Below are 23,090 nucleotides of genomic sequence, written 5' to 3' on the forward strand. Positions count from 1 at the left end.
ACTCACACCAATCTCCTGGTGGTACCCAAGCATTTCTGGCACTATCTTGCTTCAGAGCCTTGCCCTTGCTATTTATTCCATCCAGATAACAATATGGTTCATACTCTTGCCTTCTTCAAGTCTTTGTTTAAATATCACCTTTTCACTGAGGCCTCTTCTGATCATACCACTAAAAATTTCAACCTCCATGACAGTACTCCAAATTTTCTTTTTAATGCCTATCACTCTTTGAATTATGATGTACAGTTTATTTATTTTGGTTATTAACTATCTCCCACTACTTGGATATAAGCTCCTCGAATTGAGGCAGAGTTGGATCTTGCTTTGTTCACTGTTGTATCTCCAGTTCTCAGCACAGTGGTTAGGATGTCGTAAGCATTCAATGTCTATTAAATGAATTAATGGGCCATCCCCATGTCTGTAGCCTGACCAACTAGTCAGATGGTGGTTCCAATCACTGAGATAGGAAAGATGAGTGGTAGGTAAGTTTCAAGTTCAGTTTAGGATCATTTGGGGAGTCCCCTTGCCAGTACCAAAACTAATATTATCAGCACGACACTGGTATTAGTCTTTTTGCATGCTGCTGATAAAGACATACTTGAGAGTGGGCAATTTACAAACAATAGAGGTTTAATTGGACTTACAGTTCCACATGGCTGAGGAGGCCTCACCATCATGGCAGAAGGCAAGGAGGAGGAAGTCACATTTTACATGGATAGCGGCAGGCAAAGAGAGAGCTTGCGCAGGCAAACTCCCATTTTTAAAACCATCAGATCTTGTGAGACTCATTCACTATCACAAAAACAGCATAGGAAAGACCACCCCCATAATTCAATCACCTCCCACTGGGTTTCTCCCATGACACGTGGGAATTGTGGGAGTTACAATTGGAGGCGAGATTTGGGTGGGGACACAGCCAAACCATGTCATTCTGCCTCTGACCCCTCCCAAATCTCATATTTTCATATTTCAAAACCGATCATGCCTTCCCAACAGTCTCCCAAAGTCTCAGCTCATTTCGGCATTAACCCAAAAGTCACTAAAAGAAAATTTCTCAGGATTGAGAAGTGTGAGTCTCTTGACTGAAATGGCTCATTCAGTGCTCTGCTCATGAGATAAGGCTCACAGCAAGGCACATTAGTGTGAAAGTTCAGAACACCTACTAAAACAGAAGATCCTAAAAGTTTGATGGGAAAGTCAAAAAGTCACATAAAAAGGAAAAAGAAAGTGAAAATGGCATCTGAATTCTCACTAGCAACACAGCAAGTCAGAAAACAACAGAGCAAAGCCTTCAAAAATTGAAGTGAAAATAAATTTTAGTCTAAAATACTAAACTGAGCTAATCAAGAATGTAGAATTTTTCAGGCATGCAATGATTCACAATATTTATCCCACTTGTGTGTCTCCTTTCCTATGATGCAAGCAGAGTGTGTGCTTCAACAAAGTTAAAGGGTAAATCAAGGACTAGGGAGACATGGCACTAGGAAACAGTGGATCCAACACAGGAAAAGTGACAGTGGAAGTTCTGGGATGACAATTGCTCAGCACACCCAGAAAACTACCTGTCAGATTGTTGGGGCAGGAGGATGGATTGAGGTCTCTAGGCAAAAAAAAAAAAAATGAAATACTTGATCATCCCATGTTAGATTATCTGGAAAATATTATCAATAAGCAGTTGAAAGGTCTATCACATAGGTCATAGGTAATAAAAACTAAGCAAATTTTTAAAAAATCAATTATTAACTTTAGGAGAAAACAAAAAGTTATGTAAAAGAGGAAACATCATACACATAGTAGAGTGTATAGCTCAGCAACAAACAATATTTATCTTAGCATACAAACGTGAATGTTCACTTTCATTTAAATTAAAATTTGCAAAAAGAGAATAGCTGACAGATTATATTGTATATGAAAAATTTGAGAAATAAACCACGTTAAATAAAGGAAAATTTAAAAAGTAATTGGAATTAATTTTACATCATTTGGTGGTTCTGTATTTAAATATTCAATTTTAGTGTTTATTTGATAATTTCCTCTGTGTCTCTGTGAAAATCCTGTTAAGTAGATACTGGAAGTCATGTATTCATAATTCAAAGTTGTTATCTAGTCTTTCTTTCCCACCTGTTTTTTTCTTTATACTACTTTCTGCAACTTTATCTTCATACTCTTTATTAAATTTTGATTTTAAATTTCATTTAGTTAATTTAATACTCTTCATTGAATATTTTATATACTAATATTTCATTTTCAGGAGCTCTTTCTTCTTCTCTTTCACAGCATTCTTGTATATTTTTGAGATCATTAATTATAGTTCCTTGGATGTTCTCTACTGTTCTGTGTATTGTTTCTATTTCAGATAACTATTTTTTCATAATTTGGTTTCTCTTTTTCATTTGGAAATGTCAGCAAATCTCAAACATTAGCCTGCTTCACAATCCCCCAAAAGGCTTATCAAAACACAGATTACAGAGTTGCATCCCCAGAGTTTCTGATTCAGTAGGTTGGGGTTGGCCAGACAATTTGCATTTCTCACAAGTTCCCAGGGGATGTACTGCTGCTTGTCCAGAGACTAAACTCTGAGGACTGTTTGAGGCACTATGGAGTTGTATACCTTGACAAGTAAAGGTGACTCATGCATGTAAAGACTAAAGACCTGCTTTGGGTTCTCTGCCCAGGCCCTTCCTCAGAAGAACCCCTAGATTATGGTTTTAGCCAGAATTTAGGGTTTTGTGGATTGGGCTTAGGATGGACTCAGTTTGGATGGTAGCAATTTAAAAATTTTAAACATGTTGCACATCTTGGTAGAAAATTGCTGTGCAAATAAAACATATAATGTATACAATAGTATAACATTCTTATAATTCCAAAAGCTGTGCTTGCAAAATAGGTAGTTTTCATAGAAAAGAGCAGAGAATAAATTACAAAGATGTTTCCAGTAAAAGCTTAGGATGTAGGATGTCACTGTGACTTTAGCTACGGTAATATAAAAGAATGAGAAAATTGCATAATACATCCTGATTATCTTTATTAGCTATTGAAATCTTCCTGCTGATGAGTGGAAATTTGAGAATTGAGTTGCAGCCTCCCAAGTGACAATGACACTGAACAACCTGTAAATTATGTATTTTCAGCAGTAAAAGGGCAATAAGTATATTCTTTAAGAGTGTCCATCTCATAAAAGATATTATCATTTATGGTTTTCCTTTTCATTGGTTCTAATTGTCTTGCAAATCTTAGTCTGCAATGGTTAAAAATAAGACAAACAGCTCTGTCTAGTGGTAAATTTGATCACTGCAACCGAAGTCAAGAACAGTTCTCAAATCAAATTCTTTTTAAAAATCTGTCTAAAACTTGGCAAGCAAACATGACAGGAGGTAGCTGTTTTAATCCTTGCTCAGGAGACACAATGGATAAACACTTAAAGCCATCAGTCATGTCATCTCCATTTGGGACTTGTCTCAGCAGCTAAGAGAGACAGGTGTAAAACCCAGCTCAGTAATTTAATTTAAAGGGAAATACTTTGTGAAATTATGCTTTTCAGATAACTTTGTAAAACATAGGTGCAAATCTTAGCCTGTTCTTATCTTTACCCTCCTGTATTTTTTCCCTTTCCTCTCTCCTGCCTTTCAGAGAAATCTGGAATTAAACTATAAGTCAGAATCTGCCATTTTTCATATAGCGGAGATAAACCACTGCATGGCAGCTGGGGTTCCCTGCCTTTGACAATTGTGTCCACAAAGCATTCCAGTATGTGAATAAAACACTATGTGGAGAAAATGAAGAACAGCAGCTATTACCTCCCAATTCCACCGTGAAGCACTCATAAAACGGCAGTCTTTTTCTTGTGAGCACTGGTACATCAGGACAAAGTCTTACCTTTTTCCATGCCTTTCCACTTTTATAAAATAATGTGAAGCATCTTATAATAAATTTTAAAAAGGACAAATAAAATCAAGTTTAAAAAAAACAGGAGATGAGGACTCCAACTGGTGTAAAATTGGGTCCTGTGGTATTTCCAGATATATGGAATAGAGAGGATATTTGCTGAAGTGAATTAAAACTGATTGGACAGGGAGAATAAAAATTTAGTTGCTTTTTTATACATTATAAGATAATAAGCCTATGGTTATGCTCCAAAGTAAAATGATCAAAGGGTCAAAATATTACATGTGTTTGATATTATAGTCAAGAAGGTAATTAATATTGAAGATGTCAATTAAAAATTAACATATATTCAAGAAACATTTTGGTGTTAAATTACTTAGTTTCTGAAAATAAGTGCAACAACATGCTTGTTAGTTAAAAACAAAAGTACCAAAAAATATAAAGAAGGTTAAAAAAATCCCATAATGCAAGATCTATATGTAGATAAGCACTGCTAACACTGAGTGTATATCATTTAAGATTGTATTCCCATGGAAAAAGAAGCTATGTTCATTCTTAGGACAGCAATTATTCTTTTTTATACATTAACATTATGCATATGGGTGAAGACTCATGGTGAACATAGAAAATAACCTGATTCAATAGGAAATGCAGATAAGCTTTTTAAAACACAATTTAAAACAGATTATTCATTAAATGTTTCAAAAGGATGAATTTGTGTAGACAATCCACGTTGTGAGATCAAAAAGGTAAATTTAGAGACCTGAAAGATGTGAATGATACCAATGCTGTCAATTTCATGGTTATAATGAGGCAGGAAGGGAAATAGATGTGTTCTCTCAAACTTTCCCTCAATGGCAACATTCTCCCTAAGTTTTTAAGTTATGTAATGATCACAATATAATATAAGCAACAAACTAAGAAGTCTAAGAATCCTGAGCATGATTTAGTGCTATAATCAAATAAAACCCACCACAAGACTAATGTGACACATATTTAATGATATGCATAATCACTGTAATATTACACGGCAATTTAGTATAAATGGCAAATGATTACTTAAATGACTGAAATTAGCATTACTTTCACACAGCCAAATTAAGCATTTCTAGGGTCAGCTGAGGAGAGAGATAACAAGACAGACTAAAAAGCAGCCACAAGACCCCGCCAAAGAAAACCAGGCAGCTGGGTTCCCCTGGTGCTTGGGCGACAGCACAGTGCTGAGAAGGGGAAAGGGAAAAAAATATGGTAAGACTCCCACGAAGGCGCCAGGAGGGTACAGTTTGTGCCTCCCAATTACTTTCTTTTGTTTTGTTCCATCTGGGAGTTTCTAGAATTCAAGACAATTTGATCTTCCCTACCAGATAAGTGGTAGGACCCTACTACCACTAGACTCCTGGAGTTAAAGACAAGGAAGTCTTTGAAGTCACACAGAGAGGTTTGTCTGGTTTCAATCTCTGCCCACTACTGACCTCCACTCTCTAGGTTAGCCTCAACAAGAACAGATTTGACTACATACGTGACTTAAGGGAAACTCTTGCACTTACTGCTACTGTCACCTCCATCACCATCACCATGTAGAACCACTGTACAAGGTCTGAAATATCAGCCATTTCTTCCAGTTAATAAATAAGCAGACCTGCAATGCTTAGCAGATGGATGTTCATATCTGAACAGAGAAAGAGCACTGGGTGTTTTTTTATTTCTGGGAAGAGGGGTTACACGAGGAGAGAATAAAGATAGTACAAAAATTAAAGAAAGAAAAGACAAATTTTCACCTTTCTCAAAAATTTACCCAGACCTAACCCTGCCTATTAATTCATCAGAAAATGAAAAGAACATAGTATTTGAAGACTTTGAAAAGTTCCTATAGTGTTTGTACCATAGCTGTGTGAGCTTAGATAAGTTACTTAACCTCTCTGAGCCTTCGTTTCTTTATCTAAAAAAGTAAGTAAATGATAGGAGTATACCTACTTAGTTCACAGAAATGTAAACTGATTAATATACATCATGCTTCTTACACGCTTCCACCAAAGATACCCACAGTGATTGAGAGTGCATCCATGCCTATGCAGATTCTGGGAGCAGGGCCAGTCATAAGAAATCCAACTCATGCAAAATTTATTTGTAGTTTTATACTTTAACTTCAATATTAACACACACATTATATTCTACTCTGTATGCATGTGATTTAAAGAAAAATAAATATTTCAGAATTTTTACCATCAAGTAAAATTGATGCTATATGTTTACCTTCTGGTTTAGTGCAACTCTGGCCCACTCTCTAGTTTAAGAAGCCCAAATTTATGTAAAAGCACAAATGGAGTGTATTCTAGTGCACAACAGATGCTAGTAAGTATTCGTTTTCTCTTTCATTTCTCTCATGTTGTTTCAGAAGCCAAAAGCAGATTTCATGTCACCTACAGCTTTCTCTCTCCCTCTTCCTGCCTGAAAAGCACATAGGAGAGTAGAAAATAAACTAGCTGCTGGGAAGTCCTCAATCAGGGACAATTTTGATTCCCCAGGGCATAGTTGGCAATGCTAAGACATTTTTCATTGTCACAACTAGGGAAGTGTGGCACAGGATACTGGTATCTACTGGATAGAGGCCAGGGGCGCTGCTAAATATTCCTATAATGCACAGACTAGGCTCTCACAACAAAGAATTATCCAGCCTGAAATGTGTATCGTGCTGAAATTATGAAACCTTGAGCTATAAGTAACTGGCCCCAATGCGACCCTCCACAGCAGAGACCCAAGCTAAGTGATCTATGCAGGAGTACTTTATTCTTTGCCAGGCTGTAGGCACTCCCACGCTTCATGGACCTAAATTTAAACTTGAGCTAGTTGAAAACTAGTTCAAAGTCTTTACTAGATTCTGATTTTGTTCAGAAATGAAAAGCTTACTTTTCCAAGGAATTTAAAATAGAATTCTGCCAAACAGTCAGTGGTATTAGTTTCTTTATACTATATTCCATATTCCCCTGCAGAGTACTAAAAAAAACCCTATAAACTAATTCATTTACATTCTAAGGACTAATTGTGACTTGTATTCTAACCTTATGCTTTCTGCAAAAAGTGTGAAAGATCAAAATACTCCATTTGATGCCAATGCTTGATCCAAGAAGATACACACACACCTGTAGATTCTTCAGGGGATTTAAATAATGCTCTTCACCCTCAGCCAGGAAGTGGGATGTGTCATTTCACAATGTGGTTGCTGAAGAATAAACTCCTAAATGAATCTGCCCTTCTCACTCTCCTCTTTCCTCAACCTGGCATTCATGGCCTGCTTGTTGACATATATATCATGCCAAATGGTGCTCAGAAGTCACAGCACCAGTGGGGACTGAGCTGAGAAGTGTTTCAGAAATAAGAATATCCTTGAGGGGAAAGATGTGAAAATTAATAGGAGTGAGACAAGTTGTAATGGAAATTTAGCAAATAGATATTTACCTGTGAACATGACAAAATGTGTGTTAAATCATATTAATTATATTTTTATATACCAAAGAGCACTGCCACCCAGACTCCATATGTGCCACAGTACAGACAATTTTTTTTAAAGCCTGGTCGACTTTTCCATATTTGGTTTCTTCTCATCTCTGGGCACAAGAAACACTGAACTTAATGGTCAGTACATGGAAACTAAGAAGGAAAACTCTTGGAACCCGATATAAGCCAAAAATGGCCAGAAAACTTGAGAGTCAACCAATGAAGTACTCGTGCTTTCCAAAGAGCTTTGGTCTGCTAGAAACTCTCAGTGACAAGAATGCCTAGTTTCATTTGACAGGGTTCAGAGTCAAGCACTACCCTTAGACCTGGACAGGAGGCTGTCCTGCCCTAATCCCATGCTCTTGAGTGATCCCCACTCTAAGGGATGAGGAGCCAACAGGACCAGAACTGCCCAGCTGCCCAAAGGCCATGCTCTGGAGGCTCAGGACCTGTAATTCCTGCTCAAACAGCCCCAAACTTCCTCTAAGAGCCACATAAGCCTTTCCCAGGTTTGTTCTTTCTTTCCAACAGAGCACCTGGGCTTGAGGAGTGAGCAAAAGGCATTTGCACATGGTGTTTTTAAAAAGGTAAGGGGAATGCAGCTTGGGAATACACGCTAGGTAGGGTACCCACACTTAGTAAGCCAGGCCCTCATGGTGCAGAACAGAGCAAGGGACGGAAGAGAAGGGCTGAAGGCAAGTTGAGAAGAATAGAGGTCAAGTCCCCAGGACAATGAACATTCAACTCTTTGAATACTGCCACAATCTGGCTAACTTCAAAAAGTTTAAGAGGCTGGACAAGGTGGCTCATTCCTGTACTACCAGCACTTTAGGAGGCCAGTGTGGGAGGATCCCCTAAGCCAAGTAGTTTGAGAACAGCCCTGGCAACATGGGGAGACCGCATCTCTCCAAAATAAAAATTAGCTGGGCATAGTGGCACACACCTGTAGTCCCAGCTACGCAGGAGGCTGATGTGGGAGAATCAGTTGAGCCAGGGAGGTCAAAGCTACAGTAAACTATGATTGTACCACTGCACTCCAGCCTTGGTGACAGAGGAAGACCCTGTTTCAAAAAAAAAAAAAAATTAAGAATTCTAAATGGGAATCTGATTTTTTATGTCTTTAAGAAAAAAAAAAAAAAAAAAAGCAACCATTTTTTCCTGTGCTGCTTAGCACAGAGTTTTACTGTTGTTTATGATCCTAGCCAATTTAATAAATAAAATGAAATCCCAGTGAAATTTTAATTGCATTTCTGAGGCTCATGAATTCTTCTAGGCTTATTGGACATTTATAGTTCTTCTGTGAATTGCTTTTTCATTTCCTTTTTATATTTTCCGTAAAAAGCATATTTGTGTTTTTATTGATTTCACAAGTCTCTTAGAAATGATACTTTGTTATAATATGTAGTAAATAGATTTTTTCTCATGTCCTAATATAATTTTAAATCTTTTACAATTATAAGTTGTTATTAGTTTGTTTGCTCTATTGGTCTTTTATGCTTTCAAGCTTTGATGCCATGCTTAGAGAAACCTTTTCCACTCACAAATTATATAAATACAATATATATCTTACATTTATTTTAAGTATTTGTATGAGTTTACTTTTCTACATTTAAATCTTTAAATCTTTTCCATTTGGAAAATATTTTGGGGTAAGTTGTTAAAAATGCATTAATTATTTTTACAGCTATACTTGACAAACGTTATATACTATTTGTTCAATAATGCAGACTTTTTTACTGTTATGAAATAAATTTATCATATATAAAAAAAAAAAAAAAGAAGGTGTTTTGTCAAGATGGGTAAATAGAACATTTTATTTAACAGTCTGGTAGCTTAATTTATAACTTTTAAATATTTAACCATGAGAAATGTGGGCTTCCATTTGTTCTCTTATTCCATTTCTGAAAATAAAACAATGTGAGAGTTGTTCCTCATCAAAGTCCTGCCTCCCATAATAGCTTTTGCCATATCTGGTTCACTGGAGGTGGTTTTGCTCTTAACTTCACTGTATCTTAACTATGTTTCCCCTGCCTCTTAGAGTTTGGATGGCACCATGTATTCCAATTTGTTGGGCATTTTTTATCCACAATCTGCTCTCTGACAATCTGCTAATTAGACCTTTGTTTCTAGGTAGCTTCTTGAACTGGATTTAACCTTGCATTTTTGACCCTTTCCTTACCCTTCTCACCCTCCTCTGTCCCAGGCAGGCACCCACATTCATGCTTTATTGTCCCTCCCCTATAACTCCTTTTATAAAGTCTGATTCATTTCAGGCCCTTTGTGTGTTCCTTCCTGGCTTCATCTATCGTGACTGCCTGCCAATTTCTCACAATCTCTGCTCCTCCGCTCAGCATAATTTCTGGCTGCTTCTCAGTTCTCATTCTTTAGCAATTTCAATTGCTTACACCCAATGAGCATTTGCCTTCTTCCTTTGCTTCTTGTATCTTTATGGGAGATAGGAAATTGTTTATTCCCAATTTTGGTATTCTTCCTCTCAATGCCTCCCAGACATTGAGTCTCCACCCCACTGGGGGGTAAGAATAACAATAATAATAATTTTAAAAATTGCTTTTGTAAGAATGGAAAGGGAGCGATCCCATTCCTCCCCATCATAAAGGTCACGGCTGGCACTACTCTAACAAAGACAAGTTCAGAAGAGAAAAGCGTGACAGACTTATTTGATCAGAGTTTTATGTAACACAGGATTTATGCTTAGGTTGAATGGAGTATGGACAGCCATGTAAAAATATGATAGGACAAAACAGGTATAATCTAATGCCAAGAGACTTCAGTGTGGAAACTCAGCAAGACCTGTCCAAAATTTCTTTTGGACTCTCTGCAGCATTTTTTCCTCTCGGATATGGGGTAGGACCCCTCTGAAATGGGGTCTTAATTTCTTTATGACCAGCTGTTATACAGAAAGGCAGTTTGCTGGGAGCTGAGAGTAATATTTTTAGGTTTTATTGCTGGCTTTGGGGAAAAAATGGCTCTGGTTTCTCTGACCTGCCCAGGGGAACAGAGATTCTCATTTCTATGCCTTGCCTCAGGGGAGAATGAGGGGGAAGAGACAAGAAGACAGGAGAAGGTCAGACAGAGACTTTGCTTCTAAGGCTGTTCCTTGGGCCTTTTGTTGGGGTGTTGTTTTCTGAGCCCCAGCACTTCTACTCCAACACTGACTAGATTGCAGCTGGCTTTTGAAGCTGGGATACTGCCATATTCACCAGTGACTTTCCAATCATTGCTTCGCTTTCATTTCCTCTCAATTTCTTTTTTCTCTTTTAATAAAAGTTGCCAAGCAACTTTATAAAGTGACTATAAATATAGGAAAGTTAAAATCCTTTACCAAGACCACTTTATATATCTAAATATGAGTTACTAAGGTGGCTGAGAGGCTCTCTTGTGCTTGTGTGTTTATGTGGCTTTGAGATTATGTGTTTTATTTTATAGATAAGATTAGTGATTATTTAGGTTGATAAAATGACATGAAGCTTTTTGAAAATTTATCATGGAGGCCAGGCATGGTGGCTCATGCCTGTAATCCCAGCACTTTGGGAGGCCGAGGCAGGCAGATCACCTGAGGTCAGGAGTTAAAGTCTAGCCTGGCTAACATAGTGAAATGCTGTCTCTACTAAAAATGCAAGAGTTAGCTGGGCCTGGTGTCAGGCACCTGTCATCCCACCTACTTGGGAGGCTGAGGCGGGAGAATCGCTTGAACCTGGGAGGTAGAGTTTGCAGTGAGCAGAGATCACACCACTGAGCTCCAGCCTGGGCGACAAGAATGAAACTCCGTCTCAAAAAGAAGAAAAAAAAATTGCCCTGGAATTGCAAGACTCACTATGCTGGAAAGAACCTTAGAGATTATCCAGACCCAATCCCTTGTTTGCTAGTGGAGAGACTTGGAACAGAAATTTAAGCAGTTCACCAAATAATAAATTATAGCTATTATTTATAGTTTATGTGCTGAGGACCTCATCTAATACTTAAAGCAAGTCATTCCTATAGCAAATATACTATTTTATGGTAAAATTTTAGAAATATTCCTATTAAAACCAGGAACAAGGCAATGATGACTTTTATTACTGCCACTCTTTGACATTTTTCTAGAGGGCCAGGCCTAATAAGATAAGAAAAAGAGTATTTTATATATAAGGAACACTTAGAAATGTTTAGGTGGCCATAAGGACTGACAGTTTGAATCACATGAAAAATTAAAACTTTTATGTTAAAAAAGTGACAATGTAAACAAAGTTAAGAAACAAATGAAAAATGGGGAAAATATTTGGAGTCTACATGGAGACACAAGATTAATATGTACAGTATGTAAATCAGTTAAAAAGAATTAAATACCAAGAGAAAAATGAGCCAAAAAATATAAATAGAAGATGAAATTCAATGGGCCAATAAATGTGAAGCATCATACTAGCATCAGATCTGAGGTAAATGAGAAAAAAAAAGTTGGTTGTATAAAGCCACCAAAATCATACTGTAGTAAGTTTTGTATTAAATCTCCTGACAAGTCATCATCACGGCAGATGGGAGGCAGGAATAGATTGTAGTTCCAACTCAGACGGACAGAGCAGCATGCAGAGGCTCACATAGTAACTGCAAGCACAAACCAGCAATCCCAAGAGGACCCACAGACCCTCTGAAGGAAGCAGATTGCTCCTGCAGGACCCAGGAGACACCCCAAATACTGTGAGTGCCCCAACTGCAGAAGTGAGAAAGGGAGAGCCTCCTCTCCAGAACACACATCCCACAGGAGAAACCAAAGGTCTGTTTGCGGGAGAAGTTTCTGACCTTACCTGGAGCTGAGTCAATTCAGAGAACCAAGCAAAACACAGAGGTAGAGAAAGCAGCAGAAAGGCCCTGGAAGCTCACCGGATCCCCAGGCAGGCCATTTCTGCATGGCATCACAGTGATCCATCGAGAGGGTGGACAGAGGAATCAGAGGGCAGGGGTGAACACCACAGGGAGAAGGAAATCTCCAGATAACTTGGTAACAATTTGAACTGGGTGAGAAGCCTCCTGGCCAGAACTCAGAGGAGGGCACAAATCCAGTGTGCAGACTCCACAGGCAGGAGAAGAACTAAGCCCTTTTCTTTTGCAGCTGGGAGGTGGGTAACCTGGGGCAAGTTCTCAAGCCCAGCTTACTCAACACCTGGAAACAGACTTGGAGCTATTAAGGGGGGCACGGTGGGAGTGAGACCAGCCCTTTGGTTTGCACGGGAGCTGGGTGAGGCCTGTGACTGCCGGCTTTCCCCTGCTTCCCCGAGAACCTGCATGACTCAGCAGAGGCAGCCATAATCCTCCTAGGTACACAACTCCATTGACCTGGAACCTCACCCCCATCCCCCATAGCAGCAGCAGCAAGACCTGCCCAAGGAGAGTCTGAGCTCAGACACGCCCAGCCCTGCCTCCAACTGATAGTCCTTCTCTACCCACTCTGGTAGCTGGAGACAAAGGGCATACAATCTCAGGAGTTCTAGGGCCCCAGTCACTGCTGGTTCCTCTCCATATACCACAGCTAATGCTCTTTGGAAAACACCATGTCCCAGCAGGAAGCCAACCAGAACAAAAATAGAGCATAAACCCTCACAAAGTCCATTGCACCTCCCTGCCACTTCCATCAGAACAGGCACTGGTATCCACAGCTAAGAGACCCACAGATGGTTCACATCACAGGACTCTGTGCAGACAACCTCCAGTACCAGCCCCAGAGCCTGCTAGAATTCCTGGGCAGCTAGACCCAGAAGAGAGACAACAATCGCTGCAGTTTGGCTCACAGGAAGCCACACTGATGGGAAAAGGGGGAGAGTATTACATCAAGGGAACACCCCATGGGACAAAAGAATCTGAACAACAGACTTCATCCCTAGACCTTCCCTCTGACAGAGCCTACCCAAATGAGAAGGAACCAGGAAACCAACTCTGGTAATATGACAAAACAAGGCTCTTTAACACCCCCACAAAAAAATCAAACTAGTTCACCAGCAATGGATCCAAACCAAGAAGAAAACCTTGATTTGCCTAAAAAAGAATTCAGGAGGTTAGTTATTAAGCTAATAAGGGAGGCACCAGAGAAAGGCAAAGTCCAATGCAAGAAAATCTAAAATAACAATACAAGAAGTAAAGGGAGAAATATTCAAGGAAATAGATAGTTTAAGGAAAAAATAATCAAAAATTCAGGAAACATTGGACACACTTATAGCAATGCAAAATGCTCTGGAAAGTCTCAGCAATAGAACCAAACAAGTGGAAGAAAGAAATTCAGAGCTTCAAATTAACCCAATCCAATAAAGACAAAGAAAAAAGAATAAGAAAATACGAACAAAGCCTCCAAGAAGTCTGTGATTATGTTAAGCAATCAAACCTAAGAATAATAGGTGTTCCTGAGGAGGAAGAGAATTCTAAAATCTTGGAAAACATATTTGGGGGAATAATTGAGGAAAACTTCCCCAGCCTTGCTAGAGACCTAGACATCCAAATACAAGAGGCACAAAGGACACCTGGGAAATTCATCACAAAAAGACCATCGCCTAGGCACATTGTCGTCAGGTTATCAGAAGTTAAGGCAAAGAAAAGAATCTTAAGAGCTGTGAAACAGAAGCACCGGGTAACCTATAAAGGAAAACCTATCAATTAACAGAGATTTCTCAGCAGAAACCCTACAAGCTAGCAAGGATTGGGGGCCCCTATCTTCAGCCTCCTCAACAAAACAATTATTTAGCCAAGGATTTTGTATCCAGCAAAACTAAGCATCTTATATGAAGGAAAGGTACACTCTTTTTCAGACAAATGCTGAGAGAATTCACCACTACCAAGCCACCACTACAGGAACTGCTAAAAGGAGTTCTAATTTTTGAAACAAATCCTGGAAACACATCAAATCAGAACCTCTTTAAAGCATAAATCACACAGGACCTATAAAACAAAAATACAAGTTAAGAAGCAAAAACAAAAAAACAACCAAAGTACACAGGCAACAAATAGCATGATGAATGCAATGGTACCTCACATCTCAATACTAACACTGAATGTAAATAGCCGAAATGCTCCACTTAAAAGGTACAGAACTGCAGAATGGATAAGAACTCATGAACCAACTATCTGCTGCCTTCAGGAGACTCACCTAACACATAAGGACTCACATAAACTTAAAGGGGTGGAAAAAGGCATCTCATGCAAATGGACACCAAAAGGGGGCAGGAGTAGATATTCTTATATTAGACAAAATAAATTTTAAAGTAACAGCAGTTAAAAGAGACAAAGAAGGACATTATAAAATGGTAAAAGGCTTTGTCCAACAGGAAAATATCACAATCCTAAACATATATGCACCTAACACTGGAGCTCCCAAATTTATAAAACAATTACTAAAAGATCTAAGAAATGAGATAAACAGCAACACAATAGTGGGGGACTTCAATACTCCACTGACATGACTAGACAGGTAATGAAGACAGAAGGTCAACAAAGAAACAATGGATTTAAACTATACCTTGGAACAAATGGACTTAACAGATATATACAGAACATTTCATCCAACAACTGCAGAATACACATTCTATTCAAAAGCACATGGAACTCTCTCCAAGATAGACCATATGATAGGCCATAAAACAAGCCTCAATAAACTTAAGAAAATTGAAATTATACCAAGCACTCTCTCAGATCACAGTGGAATAAACCTGGAAATCAACTCCAAAGGAACTTTCAAAACCATGCAAATATGTGGAAATTAAATAACCTGCTCCTGAATGAGCATTGGGTCAACAGCAAAATCAAGATGGAAATTTAAAAATTCTTTGAACTGAATGACAATAATAACACAATCTGTTAAAAACTCTGGGATGCAGCAAAATTGGTGCTGTGAGGAAGTTCATAGCACTAAATGCCTACATCAAAAAGACTGAAAGAGCACAAACTGACATTCTAAGGTCACACTCAAGGAACTAGAGAAACAAGAACAAACCAAACCCAAACCGAGCAGAAGAAAGGAAATAGCCAAGATCACAGCAGAACTAAATGAAATTGAAACAAACAAACAAAAAAAAGATAATGAAACAAGAAACCAGTTCTTTGAAAAGATAAATAAAATTGATAGACCATTAGCAAGATTAACCAAGAAAACAAGAGAGAAAATACAAACAACCTCATTAAGAAATGAAACAGGAGACATTACAACTGACACCACTGAAATACAAAAGACTATGAATACCTTTATGCACATAAACTAGAAAACCTAGACGAGATGGATAAATTCCCGGAAAAATACAACCCTCCTAGCTTAAATCAGGAAGAATTAGATATCCTGAACAGACCAAAAACAAGCAGTGAGACTGAAATGGTAATTTTTTTTTATTATGCTTTAAGTTCTAGGGTACATGTCCACAACCTGCAGGTTTATTACATAAGTATACATGTGCCATGTTGGTGTGCTGCACCCATTAACTCATCATTTACATTAGGTATATCTCTTAATGCTATCCCTCCCCCCTCCCCTGACCCCACAACAGGACCCAGTGTGTGATGTTCCCCTTCCTGTGTCCAAGTGTTCCCATTGTTCAATTCCCACCTATGAGTGAGAACATGCGGTGTTTGGTTTTTTGTCCTTGCGATAGTTTGCTGAGAATGATGGTTTCCAGCTTCATCCATGTCCCTACAAAGGACATGAACTCATCATTTTTTATGGCTGCATAGTATTCCATGGTATATATGTGGCACATTTTCTTAATCCAGTCTATCATTGTTGGACATTTGGGTTGGTTCCAAGTCTTTGCTATTGTGAATAGTGCCATAATAAACATATGTGTGCATGTGTCTTCATAGCAGCATGATTTATAATCCTTTGGGTATATATCCAGTTATGGGATGGCTGGGTCAAATGGTATTTCTAGTTCTAGATCCTTGAGGAATCGCCATACTGTCTTCCACAGTGGTTGAACTAGTTTACAGTTCCACTAACAGTGTAAAAGTGTTCCTATTTCTCCACATCCTCTCCAGTACCTGTTGTTTCCTGACTTTTTAATGATCGCCATTCTAACTGGTGTGAGATGGTATCTTATTGTGGTTTTGATTTGCATTTCTCTGATGGCCAGTGATGATGAGCATTTTTTCATGTGTCTGTTGGCTGCATAAATGTCTTCTTTTGAGAAGTGTCTGTTCATATCCTTTGCCCACTTTTTGATGGGATTGTTTGTTTTTTTCTTTTAAGTTTGTTTGAGTTCTTTGCAGATTCTGGATATTAGCCCTTTGTCAGATGAGTAGATTGCAAAAATTTTCTCCCATTTTGTAGGTTGCCTGTTCGCTCTGATGGTAGTTTCTTTTGCTGTGCAGAAACTCTTTCATTTAATTAGATCCCATCTGTCAATTTTGGTTTTTGTTGCCATTTGTTTTGGTGTTTTAGTCATGAAGTCCTTGCCCATGCCTATGTCCTGAATGGTATTGCCTAGGTTTTCTTCTAGGGTTTTTATGGTTTTAGGTCTAACAGGTAAGTCTTTAATCCATCTTGAATTAATTTTTGTATAAGGTGTAAGAAAGGGATCCAGTTTCAGCTTTCTAAATATGGCTAGCCAGTTTTTCCAGCACCATTTATTAAATTGGGAATTCTTTCCCCATTTCTTGTTTCTGTCAGGTTTGTCAAAGACCAGATTGTTGTAGATGTGCGGTATTATTTCTGAGGGCTCTGTTCTGCTCCATTGGTCTATATCTCTGTTGTGGTACCAGTACCATGCTGCTTTGGTTACTGTAGCCTTGTAGTATAGTTTGAAGTCAGGTAGTGTGATGCCTCCAGCTTTGTTCTTTTGGCTTAGGATTGACTTGGCAATGCGGGCTCTTTTTTGGTTCCATATGAACGTTCAAGTAGTTTTTTCCAATTCTGTGAAGAAAGTCATTGGTAGCTTGATGGGGATAGCATTGAATCTATAAATTACCTTGGGCAGTATGGTCATTTTCACGATATTGATTCTTCCTACCCATGAGCATGGAATGTTCTTCCATTTGTTTGTATCCTCTTTTATTTCATTGAGCAGTGGTTTGTAGTTCTTCTTGAAGAGGTCCTTCACATCCCTTGTAAGTTGGATTCCTAGGTATTTTATTCTCTTTGAAGCAAATGTGAATGGGAGTTCACTCATGATTTGGCTCTCTGTTTGTCTGTTATTCGTGTATAAGAATGCTTGTGATTTTTGCACATTGATTTTGTATCCTGAGACTTTGCTGAAGTTGCTTATCAGCTTAAGGAGATTTTGGCCTGAGACGATGGGGTTTTCTAAATATACAATCATGTCATCTGTAAACAGGGACAATTTGACTTCCTCTTTTCCTAATTGAATACCCTTTATTTCTTTCTCCTGCCTGATTGCCCTGGCCAGAAATTCCAACACTATGTTGAATAGGAGTGATGAGAGAGGGCATCCCTGCCTTGTGCCAGTTTTCAAAGGGAATGCTTCCAGTTTTTGCCCATTCAGTATGATATTGGCTGTGGGTTTGTCATAAATAGCTCTTATTATTTTGAGATATGTCCCATCAATACCTAATTTATTGAGAGTTTTTAGCATGAAGGGTTGTTGAATTTTGTCAAAGGCCTTTTCTGTATGTATTGAGATCATCATGTGGTTTTTGTCGTTGGTTCTGTTTATATGCTGGATTACGTTTATTGATTTGCGTATGTTGAACCACCCTTGCATCCCAGGGATAAAGCCCACTTGATCATGGTGCATAAGCTTTTTGATGTATTGCTGGATTCAGTTTGCCAGTATTTTATTGAGGATTTTTGCATCAATGTTCATCAGGGATATTGGTCTAAAATTCTCTTTTTTTGTTGTATCTCTGCCAGGCTTTGGTATCAGGATGATGCTGGCCTCATAAAATGAGTTAGGGAGGATTCCCTCTTTTTCTATTGATTGGAATAGTTTCAGAAGGAATGGTACCAGTTCCTCCTTGTACCTCTGGTAGAATTCGGCTGTGACTCCATCTGGTCCTCGACTTTTTTTGGTTGGTAGGCTATTATTATTGTCTCAATTTCAGAGCCTGTTGTTGGTCTATTTAGGGATTCAACTTCTTCCTGGCTTAGTCTTGGGAGGGTGTATGTGTCCAGGAATTTATCCATTTCTTCTAGATTTTCCAGTTTATTTGCATAGAGGTGTTTATAGTATTCTCTGATGGTAGTTTGTATTTCTGTGGGATTGGTGGTGATATCCCCTTTATCATTTTTCATTGCGTCTGTTTGAATCTTCTCTCTTTTCTTCTTTATTAGTCTTGCTAGCAGTCTATCAATTTTGTTGATCTTTTCAAAAAACCAGCTCCTGGATTCATTGACATTTGAAGGATTTTTTGTGTCTCTATCACCTTCAGTTCTTCTCTGATCTTAGTTATTTCTTGCCTTCTGCCAGCTTTTGAATGTGTTTGCTCTTGCTTCTCTAGTTCTATTAATGTGATATTAGGATGTCAATTTTAGATCTTTCCTGCTTTCTCTTGTGGGAATTTAGTGCTATAAATTACACACTGCCTTAAATGTATCCCAGAGATTCTGGTATGTTGTGTCTTTGTTCTCTTTGGTTTCAAAGAACATCTTTATTTCTGCCTTCATTTTGTTACATACCCAGTAGTCATTCGTGAGCAGGTTGTTCACTTTCCACATAGTTGAGCCGTTTTGAGTGAGTTTCTTAATCCTGAGTTCTAGTTTGATTGCACTGTGGTCTGAGAGACAGTTTGTTAAATTTCTGTTCTTTTACATTTGTTGAGGAGTGCTTTACTTCCAACTATGTGGTCAATTTTCGAATAAGTGCGATGTGGTGCTGAGAAGAATGTATATTCTGTTGATTTGGGGTGTAGAGTTCTGTAGATGTCTATTAGGTCTGCTTGGTGCAGAGCTGAGTTCAATTCCTGGATATCCTTTTTAACTTTCTGTCTCGTTGATCTGTCTAATGTTGACAGTGGGGTGTTAAAGTCTCCCATTATTATTGTGTGGGAGTCTAAGTCTCTTCATAGGTCTCTAAGAACTTGCCTTATGAATCTGGGTGCTCCTGTATTGAATGCATATATATTTAGGATAGTTCGTTTTTCTTGTTGAATTGATCCCTTTACCATTATGTAATGGCCTTCTTTGTCTCTTTTGATCTTTGTTGGCTTAAAGTCTGTTTTATCAGAGACTAGGATTGCAACCCCTGCCGTCTTTTGTTTTCCACTTGCTTGGTAGATCTTCCTCCATCCCTTTATTTTGAGCATATGTGTGTCTCTGCACATGAGATGTGTCTACTGAATACAGCACACTGATGGGTCTTGACTCTTTATCCAATTTGCCAGTCTGTGTCTTTTAATTGGAGCATTTAGCCCATTTACATTTAAGGTTAATATTGTTATGTGTGAATTTGATCCTGTCATTATGATGTTAGCTGGTTATTTTGCTCGTTATTTGATGCAGTTTCTTTCTAGCATCAATGGTCTTTACAATTTGGCATGTTTCTGCAGTGGCTGGTACTGGTTGTTCCTTTCCATGTTTAGTGCTTCCTTCAGGAGCTCTTTTAGGGCAGGCCTGATGGTGACAAAATCTCTCAGCATATGCTTGTCTGTAAAGGATTTTATTTCTCCTTCACTTATGAAGCTTAGTTTGGCTGGATATGAAATTCTGGGTTGAAAACTCTTTTCTTTAAGAATGTTGAATATTGGCCCCCACTCTCTTCTGGCTTGTTGAGTTTCTGCTGAGAGATCAGCTGTTAGTCTGATGGGCTTCCCTTTATGGGTAACCCGATCTTTCTCTCTGGCTGCCCTTAACGTTTTTTCCTTCATTTCAACTTTGGCGACTCTGACAATTATGTGTCTTGGAGTTGCTTTTCTTGAGGAGTATCTTTGTGGTGTTCTCTGTATCTCCTGAATTTGGATGTTGGCCTGCCTTGCTAGATTGGGGAAGTTCTCCTGGATAATATCCTGCAGAGTGTTTTCCAACTTGGTTCCATTCTCCCCGTCACTTTCAGGTACACTAATCAGACGTAGATTTGGTCTTTTCACATAGTCCCTTATTTCTTGGAGGCTTTGTTCATTTCTTTTTACTCTTTTTTCTCTAAACTTCTCTTCTCGCTTCATTTCATTCATTTGATCTTCAATCACCGACACACTTCCTTCCAGTTGAGCGAATCGGCTACTGAAGCTTGTGCATTCATCACGTAGTTCTCGTGCCATGTTTTTCAGCTACGTCAGATCATTTAAGGACTTCTCTACACTGGTTATTCTAGTTAGCCATTCATCTAATCTTTTTTCAAGGTTTTTAGCTTCTTTGTAATGGGTTCGAACTTTCTCTTTTAGCTCAGAGAAGTTTGATCGTCTGAAGCCTTCTTCTCTCAACTTGTCAAAGTCATTCTTCATCCAGCTTTGTTCCATTGCTGGCGAGGAGCTGCATTCCTTTGGAGGGGGAGAGGTGCTCTGATTTTTAGAATTTTCAGCTTTTCTGCTCTGCTTTTTCCCCATCTTTGTGGTTTTATCTACGTTTGGTCTTTGATGATGGTGATGTACAGATGGGGTTTTGTTGTGGGTGTCCTTTCTGTTTGTTAGTTTTCCTTCTAACAGTCAGGACCCTCAGCTGCAGGTCTGTTGGAATTTGCTGGAGGTCCACTCCCAGACCCTGTTTGCCTGGGTATCAGCAGCAGTGGCTGCAGAACAGTGAATATTGCTGAACAGCCAATGTTGCTGCCTGATCGTTCCTCTGGAAGCTTCGTCTCAGAGGGGTACCCTGCCGTGTGGGGTGTCAGTCTGCCCCTACTGGGGGGTGCCTCCCAGTTAGGCTACTCGGGTTCAGGGACCCACTTGAGGAGGCAGTCTGTCCGTTCTTAGATCTCAAACTCCATGCTGGGAGAACCACTACTCTCTTCAAAGCTGTCAGACAGGGACATGTAAGTCTGCAGAGGTTTCTGCTGCCTTTTGTTCAGCTATGCCCTGCCCCCAGAGGTGGAGTCTATAAAGGCAGGCAGGCCTCCTTGAGCAGTGGTGGGCTCCACCCAGTTCGAGCTTCCTTGCCACTTTGTTTACCTACTCAAGCCTTAGCAAGGGCGGGCTCCCCTCCCCTAGCCTCGCTGCCACCTTGCAGTTCAATCTCAGATTGCTGTGCTAGCAATAAGCAAGGGTCCGTGGGCATGGGACCCTCTGCGCCAGGTGCGTGATATAATCTCCCAGTGTGCTGTTTGCTAAGACTGTTGGAAAAGTGCAGTATTAGGGTGGGAATGACCCGATTTTCCAGATGCCATCTGTCACAGCTTCCCTTGGCTAGGCAAGGGAATTCCCTGACCCCTTGCACTTCCCAGGTGAGGTGATGCCTCGCCCTGCTTCGGCTCATGCTCGGTGGGCTGCACCCACTGTCCTGCACCCACTGTCCAACAAGCCCTAGTGAGATGAACCTGGTTCCTCAGTTGGAAATGCAGAAATCACCCGTCCTCTGTATCGCTTACACTAGGAGCTGTAGACTGGAGCTGTTCCTATTTGGCCATCTGAAATGGTAATTTAAAAATTACCAACAAAAAAAAATCCCAGGATGAGACGGATTCACAGCAGAATTCTACCAGACATTCAAAGAAGAATTGGTACCAATCCTATTGACACTATTCCACAAGACAGAGAAAGAAGGAACTCTCCCTGATTCATTCTATGAAGCCAGCATCACCCTAGTGTCAAAACCAGGAAATGACATAACCAAAAAAGAAAACTACAGACTGATATCCTTGAAGAACATAGATGGTAAAATCCTTAACAAAATACTAGCTAACTGAATCCAACAACATATCAAAAAGATAATACACCATGATCAAGTGGGTTTCATACCAGGGATGCAGGGATGGTTTAACATACACAAATCAATAAATGTGATATACCACATAAGCAGAATTAAAAACAAAAATTACATGATCATCTCAATAAATGCAGAAAAATATTTGACAAAATCCACTATCCCATTATGATTAAAACTCTCAGCAAAATTGGCATAGAAGGGACATACCTCAATGTAATAAAAGCCATCTATGACAAATCCATAACCAACATAATACTGAAGGGGGAAAAGTTGAAAGCATTCCCTCTGAGAACTGGAATAAGACAAGGATGCCCATTCTCACCACTCCTCTTCAGCACAGTACTGGAAGTCCTAGCCAGAGCAATCAGACAACAGAAAGAAATAATGGGCATCCAAATCAGTAAAGAGGAAGTCAAACTGTCACAGTTTGCTGACAATATGATCATATATCTCGAAAACCCTAAAGACTCCTCCAGAAAGCTTCTAGAAATGATAAAAGAAGTAAGCAAAGTTTCTGGATATAAGATTAATTTACACAAATCAGTAGCTCTTCTATACACCAACAGCAACCAAGTGAAGAATCAAATCCAGAACTCAACACCTTTCACAATAACTGTAAAAAATAAAAATACTTGGGTATTCCTGAGTACCTAACCAAGGAGTCAAAAGACCCCTACAAGGAAAACTTAAAAACACTGCTGAAAGAAATAGATGACACAGACAAATGGAAACACATCCCATGCTCATGGATGGGTAGAATCAATATTATGAAAATGACCATACTGCCAAAAGCAATCCAAAAATTCAATGCAATCCCCATCAAAATACCACCATCATTCTTCACAGAATTAGAAAAAACAATTCTAAAATTCATATGGAACCAGAAAAGAGCCAGCCCACATAGCCAAAGCATGACAAAGCAAAAAGAACAAATCTG

General features: G+C 39.1%; 1 annotated feature.

The window, feature by feature from the left end:
- Nucleotides 6,480-6,649: an enhancer, noted in NCBI's record as "active region_20719". NCBI's record gives its function as "activates an Ori minimal core promoter by ATAC-STARR-seq in GM12878 lymphoblastoid cells {active_cell/tissue: GM12878}" and the evidence as "EXISTENCE:reporter gene assay evidence [ECO:0000049][PMID:35858748]".

Source organism: Homo sapiens, chromosome 3 (genome assembly GCF_000001405.40).
Source record: "Homo sapiens chromosome 3, GRCh38.p14 Primary Assembly".
In the NCBI taxonomy this organism is placed as follows: Eukaryota; Metazoa; Chordata; class Mammalia; order Primates; family Hominidae; genus Homo; species Homo sapiens.